This window comes from Homo sapiens, chromosome 7, assembly GCF_000001405.40.
Source record: "Homo sapiens chromosome 7, GRCh38.p14 Primary Assembly".
NCBI classification, from domain to species: Eukaryota; Metazoa; Chordata; class Mammalia; order Primates; family Hominidae; genus Homo; species Homo sapiens.
The window spans coordinates 65,547,375-65,558,342 of NC_000007.14; the positions used below are offsets into that span (position 1 = coordinate 65,547,375).

At 38.1% G+C, this 10,968-nt stretch overlaps 2 pseudogenes across 2 annotated transcripts in view; one reads left to right on the forward strand and one right to left on the reverse strand.

Annotated features, from left to right (window-relative positions):
• Nucleotides 1–7,691, reverse strand: part of LOC101929322 (integrator complex subunit 4 pseudogene) — a 62,731-nt pseudogene extending 55,040 nt beyond the window's left edge. For both annotated transcript variants that reach the window (NR_157837.1, NR_157838.1), the window contains exon 1: nucleotides 7,204–7,691. The product of NR_157837.1 is annotated as an integrator complex subunit 4 pseudogene, transcript variant 1 (transcript). The remainder of the gene's footprint in view (nucleotides 1–7,203) is intronic.
• LOC124901800 (uncharacterized) lies at nucleotides 7,198–10,589 on the forward strand (annotated as a pseudogene).
• Nucleotides 10,590–10,968: the final 379 nt, after the last annotated feature.

The window sequence follows — 10,968 nt, forward strand, 5'->3', positions numbered from 1 at the left end:
ATAAACTCCTGTGTCTACAAATGGTTCACATTAACTCAATATCCAAGATTAAACATCTATAAAATCAAGGCACTGTTATTTAGTGGAGACTTGCTGGTTATTCTATGAGAGGAGGTATTGTTATTGTAATCTCATCCTCTCATAAAAGTGTATCATATTACTCATAACCAGCCCTTCATATTCTATTCCTATTTTGGTATTTAAAAATAAGATATCTTTGAAACACTTGAATTCAAAGAGGGAATCTGAATAGTTTTTAAAATGTCAATGAAATGCCATTTCTTCATGCTTGAACAAATACAAATTGACTAAAGTGCTTCTCTTCAAACTTTCTGGAACATTTTTTATCTAAATTCTAGGAACAATCACAATAGGTTTTAACCACAAATGTGAGAATGTTCTAAACGTTAGGGTGGAAAATTTTTAAAATAATTTTATAGTAATTTTTTCATCATAGTGACAGTGTGCTAAATTTTTTTCAGTCAAATATTACTGTGGACATTTAAGTCAAGATTCTAAGAAGCTGTTCTACAGTCCAAAATTTAGTTTCATATACAATGATATTATACATATATTTGCATATAAAATTAATATATGTGAGCCATGTTTCAAATAGTTGAGAGATTATTATATCAAAGATTCTTGATTATATAAAATGCCAATTACTTATAGGCACACATGCTTTTAATAATTACAAAGGCAGCTGTGGTTGATTCTACTCTTGCTACTGGCATTTATATGGACATAACATTATGGTCTGAAGAATATTTAGGCAAATTTATCCCTCATATGATCAGAAGAACAATGCAAGATAGTTTATATCTGAAAGGAAAAAACCTTTATATGGTTCTGAAAGCCTAAATCCTTAACAACTTGCATAATAATTAGCATAAAAATACACAAACATGCCCTCTTCCTAGCAGTAAGTACACAGTGATAACAGAATCAAAGCATGTGGCTATGTGCATGTTTATATTTCAAGACGCAGAGCACTCTATTCCTCTTCTCTGTCCTTTCTAGATGGCACAATTCCTCATGAATCTAAGTGCAGTCATAGGGTGGATTAGGGTGACCTGCCATTTGTATGCAACTGATCTCTATTTTGGAAGCAATTAATGTAAAAATATATTTTTACAAGATAATTTCAAATTTCAGGGCAAACTAGCATGGTTTCACTCCTTTTCTTTGTAACATTTTTTCTAAGGTTGGAAAAGTAAGGCTTTAGTACGATTTTTAATAATAAGTTTTCAAAGTGAGACGCAAAATGGTGGCGCCAACACATTTCAAGTCTGCTACATTTTGAATACACTTATTGGAGAAAAGACCTTCTCATCATTTTTCTCTTACAGGAAAGGAAATAACATGTACAGTTGACCCTTAAGCAACACGGAGGTTGGGGTGCTGGCCCCCCTACACAGTAGAAAATCCACTATAACTTTGACTCCCCCAAAACTTAACTACTAATAGCCTACTGTAAGCCTTACAAATAACACAAGCAGTCAATTAACACATATTTAATATGTTATATGTCTTATATACTGTATTCTTAACAAACATGCCAGAGAAAAGAAAAAGAAAATCATAAGGAAAATATATTTACTAGTTATTAAATGGAAGTACATGATCAAACAGGTCTTCATCCTCATCCTTTTCATGGGCAGGGTGTGGAGAAGGATGTAGAATTGTTGGTTTTGCTAAGTGGACCTGCACAGTTCAAACCCCTGTGGTGCAAAGGCCAACTGTAAAGCCATTGAATAGCAATTTAGTTTTAGAAATTAACCTCACTAAAATACTCTTAGAAGGATGCCAAGAAAAAAAATGAATAAGTATTTTTGGTTCATCTATTTCATCATTTCATTTAATTTCCTCATTTCATTTCATCCTTTCATCATTTCGTTGCATCATTTCATTTCATCATTTCATCTCATCATTTCATTTCATTCTTTCATCATTTCATCTCAACATTTCATTTCATCATTTCACTTCATCTCATCATTTCATCATTTCATCTCATGATTTCATTTCATCTCATTTCATCTTTTCATCTCATTTCATCTTTTCATCTCATTTCATTATTTCATCCTTTCATCATTTTGTTGCATCATTTCATCTCATCATTTCATTTCATTCTTTCATTTCATTTCATCCTTTCATTTCATTTCATCATTTCATCTCAACATTTCATCATTTCACTTCATCTCATCATTTCATTTCATCTCATTTTATTTCATCTTTTCGTCATTTCATTTCATCATTGCATCTTTTCATCTCAATTCATTTTTCATCAATTCATTTCATTTCACTTATTTCATCATTTCATCATTTCACTTCATTTCATTTAATATCATTTCATCATTTCATATCATTTCATCATTTCATCTTTCCATTTCATCATTTCATCATTTGACTTATCATTTCATTTCCTCATTTCATCATTTCATTTCATTGCATCCTTTCATCATTTCATCTCATTTCATCCTTTCATTTCATTATTTCATTTCATCATTTCATCTCATCATTGCATTTCCTCATTTCATCATTTCACTTCATCTCATTTCATAATTTCATCTCATGATTTCATTTCATCTCATTTCATCTTTTCATCTCATTTCATCATTTCATCTTTTCATCTCATCATTTCATCAATTCATCATTTCATCATTTCGTTAATCATTTCACTTCATTTCATCATTTCATATCATTTCTTCATTTCATCATTTGATCTTTTCATTTCATTTCATCATTTCACTTCATCATTTCATTTCTTCATTTCATTTCCTCATTTCATTTCACCATTTCATCATTTCATTTCATCATTCCATTTCATCATTTCATCATTTCATTTCATCTCATCATTTCATTATTTCATCAATTCATTTCATTTACTTCATCATTTCATTTGACTTCATTTCATCATTTCATCATTTAATATCATTTCATCATTTCATTTCATATCATTTCATCATTTCATCTTTCCATTTCATCATTTCATCATTTGACTTATCATTTCATTTCATCACTTCATCATTTCATTTCATCCTTTCATCATTTCATCTCATTTCATCCTTTCATTTCATTATTTCATTTCATTTCATCTCATCATTGCATTTCCTCATTTCATCATTTCACTTCATCTCATCATTTCATAATTTCATCTCATGATTTCATTTCATCTCATGATTTCATTTCATCTCATTTCATTTCATCTTTTCATCTCATTTCATCATTTCATTTCATCTTTTCATCTCATCATTTCATTTCATCAATTCATCATTTCATTATTTCATTAATCATTTCACTTCTTCATTTCATATCATTTCTTCATTTCATCATTTGATCTTTTCATTTCATCATTTCATTTCATTTCATCATTTCACTTCATTTCATTTCTTCATTTCATTTCCTCATTTCATTTCACCATTTCATCATTTCATTTCATCATTCCATTTCATCATTTCATCTCATCATTTCATCCTTTCATTTCATTATTTCATCTCATCATTTCATCTCATCATTTCATCATTTCACTTCATCTCATCATTTCATCTCATGATTTCATCTCATCATTTCATCTCATGATTTCATTTCATCTCATCAATTCATAGCATCTTTTCATCTCATTTATTTCATTTCATCTTTTCATTTCGTCATTCATTTCATCATTTCGTCAATTCATTTCATTTCCTTATTTCATCATTTCATTATTTCACTTCATTTCATCATTTCATTCCATCATTTCATATCATTTCTTCATCATTTCATCATTTCATTTCACTTCATTTCACCATTTCATCATCATTCCATTTCTCATTTCATCTTATCATTTCATTTCATCATTTCACTTCATCTCATGATTTCATCATTTCATCTCATCATTTCATCTTTTCATCTCATTTCATTTAATCATTTCATTTCACCTTTTAATCTCGTCATTTCATTTCATCATTTCATGTCATCAATTCATCATTTCATTTCATTATTTCCTCATTTCATCATTTCACTTCATCACTTCATTACATTTCATCTCATCATTTCATATCATTTGTTCATTTCATCATTTCATCTTTTCATTTCATTGTTTCACTTCATCATTTCATCATTTCATATCATTTCTTCATTTCATCATTTCATCTTTTCTTTTCATCATTTCATTTCATTATTTCACTTCATCAGTTCATTTCATCATTTCATTTCATTTCCTCATTTCATTTCACCATTTTGTTTCATCATTTCATTATTTCATTTCATCATTCGATTTCATCATTTCATTTCATCATTTTATCATTTCATTTCATCTCATCATTTCATCATTTCATCATTTCATTTCATTTCATCATTTCATCATTTCGTTTCTTCATTTGATCATTTCATTTCATCATTTCATTTCATTTCAGTGATACATGTATTTAAGTGCTAATGTGATGCCCAGGAGACACCCTATTTCCCTTTGTAAAACACCTCCTTCAACAAAAGGCAACCTCTCATGGCTGGCTAAGTCTACAGGGATACCAGCCTCTCTTCAACCACCCAGTTTGATTTAGAACCTCAAACAGCACCTCAGTTTCATAAAAACCTAAAACATAAAACACAACACTTGGTTGTAAGTGAGCCAACAGTTTCTTGTCTCTTTCTCTGCTCAAGGCTTAAGGCCGTGTCTCCCCAACTACGTTCAGTGGAAGAAAAGATCCCCTGGACAAATAAGTTTGAGAACTGTTGTTGCAGGACTTCTCAGAACCTTTAAAACACAAATCCTCATCCGCAGGGATCTTCAGGAGGGAGATGGCTGGTGCAGCACAACTTTCTTTCACAGGAGCATCTTGCAGAATACAGTATGAGATACAGAAAGGCTGCACTGAGTCTTTTTAAGGGCCCGGGCCTTGGTGCGGGTGGGGAAGGAGCTCTCCAGATAGCATCTAATGAGTAGGAACATTCAGGTGGCTTTTTTTTTTTCCTTATTGGCAAAACTGTGTGTGCACCATGAATGAAGCTGGACTCCCTTATCCATATCAAAACTAAACCCAAATTAATTGGCTAAATTGGGACTCAACACCTCCAGGAGCCACATGGAAGAAAGCCCCACCACACTTTAAAGTAGCTTACCTCATCATATTTGAGGAAAGCAAAACGCTTATGACCAGTATGCTGCTAATACAAGTCTACAGATAATGCTGTATGAAAAATTATTTTTCCCAATCATGGCTGGCATAGTCCACATTTTGCATTACACTTTCCCCCCTTTTTTTAAATTTTAAGCACAGGTCTTTTTTTCTTCTTTTTTTAAATTTTAATTTAATTATACAAGACGGAGTCTCAGTATGTTGCCCAGGCTGGTCTTGGACTCCTGAGCTCAAGTGATACATCCGTCTCCGCCTCCCAAAGTGCTGGGATTACAGGCCTGAGACACTGTGCCCGGCCTTAAACACAAATCTTAATTCATTCTTACAACTATCCTGAGGTTAGAAAAATGGAAGGGGAAGAAAAATGGCAAGCAGGCAGGCTGACTTCGGCTTCATTATTTGGAAGGACAGTTTGCTTGGTTAAAACACACTACTGCCCACAAAGGCCAAGACAACAGAAAAATACAGACTTATATAAATAGATTTTATATGTGACAGCAGTTTGAATGGAGACTTTTTCAATGCAAATGACAAACAGCTGTCCTTGGGAATAAATGACAACGAATTTTTTTATCTCAACAGCTGTCCTGAGAGCACGTCTCTACATCTCTACCTGCATTCTGGAAACCGGGAGAAAGCCAAAACGGATGACAAGACACTAGATCAGCCGTGTCCAACCCTGTGACTACAAGGACTTTTCCGCCTATCTTTGGTGGTGGGTATCATCAAAATTCTGCACAAACCTTTTTTTTTTTTTTTTTTTTTAAGCTCATTAGCTGTTGTTAGCATTAGTGTATTTTATGTGTGGCCCAGGAGCATTCTTCTTCCAATGTGGGCCTGAGAAGCCAAAAGACTGGACACCTGTGCACTAAATCAAAAGGCTATTCCTTCTGGAAGCAATTGTAAAGAATTTCTCACATTATCTTGACATGAAAACCAATGGATAGTGGGACAGAATGCAAAATCTTCAAGAATTTTTGTTGTTGTTGTTGTTGTTTTTGAGTCAAGGTCTTGCTCTGTGGCCCAGGCTGGAGTACACTGGTGAGATCACAGCTCAGTGCAGGCTCAAGTGCTCCTCCCGCCTCAGCCACAGTACTAGCTGGGACTACAGATGCGCACAGCCACCCCTGGCTAATATTTTATCTTTTGTAGAGACGGGGTCTCACTGTATTGTCCAGGTTGGTCTCAAACTCTTTGACTCAAGGGATCCAGGACAGGATAACAGGTGTGAGCCACCACACCTGGCCATGTGCATGAACTTTTAAGACAAACACAAGGCCCCACAAAAGGTAAGGTTTTCCCACCTAATTTCCAGGGGATCTTTTGGTGCAAGGATGAGAAGCCCTTAAAAGTACACAGACAACTCCAAAGATTCAAGACAGTTCATTCGGGCTGAGCCAGCCCACTGGGCAGACAGACCTTCAAGAAAGGCCCACGCATGACATACACCAGATGGCTCTCCAAGAATCGCTTCAGTCCTCAGGGTCCCTAAGGTACTGGACAGAGCTAGGAAAGCAAACCCATTTGCTTCTTCCTGCACGAAACCCCTTGAGGTCAAGACCCCACAATCAGACGAGGATGGAGTGGCTCACCCTCAGTCAACAGGCCAGACTCAAGGTGGTATAATGACTTAACCAAGGGTGTGGGACTCCAGGTCTGACTCCCAACTCAGTTCTCCTTTAATAACCACACTTTGGTAATTCTCCTTAACAGGGGTTCCTGGCAAGTCAGTTCTCCCTCAGGCCTTTGGTTTCCTCACCTACAAGATGAGAGGGCCGGACCAGATGGAAATTCGGGGGGTAAGGGGATGTCCGCGCGCAGCCCACCCCCACCCCCCCGACCCGCCCCACGGGACCCTAGCGCCTCCATCCCAGTTCCCACCAAGCACCCGCCCCACAAATCCTGCCCAAGGTGAGGGCTGGTCCCGGGTCTCTCGGCTGCCGCATCAGCGAGTGCAGGAGGGAGGGGAAGCCTCCAAGGGCGCGACGCGGGCTCAAGGATGCAACTCGGCCAGGAGTGAACTGGGGCCTCAAGGGAGGTGTCCGGGCCGCTCCTCGAGCCCAGCCCGGGTCCCCAAACCCCTTACCTCCAGGGTCCGTATCTCCTGCTCGGTGAGGTCGTTGGACACAGCGCACTTGGTGCCCAGCCCGCGCAGGCTGCCAATGGAGATGCCGATGAGCTTCTGGAGCTGTCCGCACTGCTGCAGCCCCGGGCTGGCCGGGGCCCCTGCGCCACCCTCAGCGGCCGCTGCATCACCCCCGCCACCGCCCTCCTTCTTCTCTCCCATCGCCTCCGCGCGCAGTGCCGCCCTATGCAGGCCACAGCGGCCGAGGCAGGGAGCCCGGGGCTCGGGCGCCTAGGCAAGGAACCCCCGAGCCGGGAGAGCTGGACCGGGAGCGCCCCTCGGCGCTGCCCTTGCCAGGACGCCAGTAGAGCTGGCAGCGGAGTCTGCCGCTCCCGCCCTCAGAGCCGCGGCGGCGGGAGCAGAAAGCCGCGGCGGCAAAAAGCCGCGGCGACGGGGGGCAAAAAGCCGCGGCGGCGCAGGCAAAAAGCTTAGGCGGCGGGGGCAAAAAGCCGCGGCGGCAAAAATGCGCGGCGGCGGGGGCAAAAAGCCGCGGCGGAAGAAAGCCGCCGGGGCGGGGGCAAAAAGCCGCGGCGGGGGGGACAAAAAGCAGTGGGAGCTGGGGCAAAAAAACCACAAAAAGCCGCGGCGGCGGGGACCAAAACGCCGCGGCGGCGGAGGCAAAAAGCTGCAAAAGCCGCGGTGTGGGGGCAGAAAGCCGCAGCGGGAGAAAGTCTCACTCCAAATTCCCTTGCTTCAGTAAGCTTCTCTAGGCCAATGTTCCTTCGGCATTACCCATTTTCTTCCTGTGAATGCAAATCACATAAACATGGAAGTACATTTGACCATTTTAATTGTTTAACATTCCATGTCACACGACCTTCCACAATAGAATCAATGTATTAAAATGTGTTAACGACCACACATTTTACACAAATGCCATGAATCCTTAAGGTGTTCCAATTTATAAAATATGTCTGCAAATCATACTTTATGATGCTTTGTATTCTGTCGGTAATTGGATGTCATATATTTAAATTCTATTAAACTGCTTATTAAAATGTCCAGTGCCTCTTTTCTTGCATGGCCACAAATATTGTCACTTTAAATCAGCACCTTTCAAAGTTAGTTTCATGACGACTCAAGATACTTTAAACTATTTTAGAAAGTCTCAAAATAATTCAAAAATAATTCATTTAGTTAACATATTTTGTAAATATACATATTCTATGTATTAATTTAAATTTGGAATAAGTCAAGGAAGAGATATAAAATGTCTTTAAAAGGTATTACAACTGTAAGTAATCAAAGAAGGAAAAACAAACAAACAGAATAAACTGTTAAAGGGCCAGAATACTAGGAAGAACTTAAAAAGTAGTAAGCAATACATACTTCCTCACCTATATAATATCAAAGAGTTTGGGATACCCACAGAAGCGACTGTGAAAACCTCTGAGACCATCCTCTGTGTTGGTGTCTCCTTAAATCAATGGGATAAATACTGAAAATCTTGTCCAATAGCAATCCAATTTAAGAAGTCACCATAGGTATAAATAGCAAACAATTATATGTTCCCCATCATGGCCAAATGTATCATGTGAGCCATATGTGAGCCATCTACAAAATCAATTATTCAGCAATTCAGTTCATTTCATTGAGACAATATTAATAAAAGGATCAAAAGAACTATCGTCTGATTATGTCATACACAATAAATCACCAACTATTTATCAAAAACTGTTCTTTCCATTCTACCTCTGTGGTTATTGCCTTAGGTCAGACACCATCACCTCTCACCTGAATTAATGTATTAAGTTTTTAATGGGTCTCCCTATCTCCAATCTCACCAACCCCAGATTACCCTTTAATGATTTCACATTACCTTGAAAATAACTAGGCACTTATTTTTGTGCTCTGGTACAAAAATGCCTTTGTCTGTTGCCACACAGGCCATTATCTCATGGAAAACCTGTTTTCCAGCTGTGTTGAATTCAGTAGTATTCATAGACCCAACACAATCTCTTCTTGTCTTTAATGTGACGTTTATCCTGAAAAGAGTGCTTTTCTCTCACACTCCCTGTATATCTGGTTGGCTTATCCTTGAATACCCTACTCAAACTTTACCTTCCCCAAGCACAGTTTTCCATGGTCTCCTCAATGCTGAGCTGCCCTTCTCTGTGGTCCTTTTGCAACAGCTACCAAGCCATTTCTTACATGGCATTTACTGTCTCCTCTCCTAGAACAATTTCTTAAGACTAGAAACCATGTCTTAATTATCTTTGTGTCCTAGTATCTGAATGTCTGCAATATGGAAAAAACACTCCACTGGTGTTTGTTCAAAGGATGAATAAATAAACATTTCCTAAAATTGCCTGATACTAAGAATCGCTCAGGTGCTAATTAAAAATTCAGATCGCCAAGCTAAGATTTATATTGACCAGTATGAATTGAGGCAGAAGATTTTGTACATTTATCAGGTATCCCAAATGATTTTCATAATGAGGAAACTGAGAGAATTTAATCATAAGAGATAGGAAAATCTGTCTTTGCATGAAATTTCTCTGTCCTCCGTCCATGGGTTACTTGTTTTTGAGGTATCCATGAGGATACTCCTCCCCCTTTATCTGATACCTAACTGTGCTGTGCAAGAAAAACAAAACAATTTTTCATCATATAAGGGCATGAGGCTAATCTATCCTTAGCTCAGAATATAAACTCAGCAAGGGGCTTAAATATGATTTCAACATTGTTTGTATTCTTTCAGCTAGCGTTTTCAATGTGGCCTAAAAATGTCATGACTCAGAGTACTTATTTGTAGAATTGCTTCAAAATTTTATCTAAACCATTATAATTTCACACCTGGCATTGAAACTACCTAGTTTGCCTGCAAGAACTCCACTTACTTGGCAAATATACAGTACTTGCTGAGACTAACTTAGTGTGTAATGCTTTATCCTATAACTCTAGGAATACAAACATTTAAAAAAAAAAAAAAAGGCTGTTCCATGTTGCCTCTATTCAGCATACCTTACTCCTAATTTCCTGCAATACTCTCTTCACCTCTACCACTCAGGGGAAACTTTTTTTCTGAAAGTCACAAAGAAGCTCTGAATTACCAAATCTAACAAATTTTCTTCCCATATCCATTGGCTTCTAACTAACAGTACGAGGCAAGTCTTTCTTCAATGCCCATTCCTTGTTGGATTCCTGGCCTTCCTATTTCTCTCTCTGCAACTTTTTGGTCTCCTTCATAAACGTATTCTTTTGTTTTGCCTGCTTCTAAATATGTTTGTTCTATTTTGGAATCTAAACGTGTTGGCCTAGCAGTAAAGTTCTTCGAAATTTGCCAATCTGTTTGGATCTTATCACACTAAACTCCTCTCCGTGTATCCTATGATTTGAGCTGGCACTCGTCAGATGTGGTTTTAAAATGTATACTAATTAAAATTAAATAGAATAAAAACTTCAACTCCTCAGTCACACTATCCACATGTCAAGTGTTCAACAGCCACTAGTGGCTACCATATTGGACAGAACGTTCATACAACATTGCCTTCATGGACAAAAGTTCTATCGGACAGTGCTAGTCTAGACAACTGGAGTACTCAAATTTCTCATCTCTACACTTTAGCTCATTCTATTCTCTGTCTACCTAAAATGCTGTCCACCAATCATATCTCTTCCTATTGAGGTATGACTCGTTCTTCAAGATTTATTCTTAATATTTACCTGTCTCCAAAGTCTTTACTTATCACTCTAGCTGAAAGTATGGCAGCCCACCTATGAACT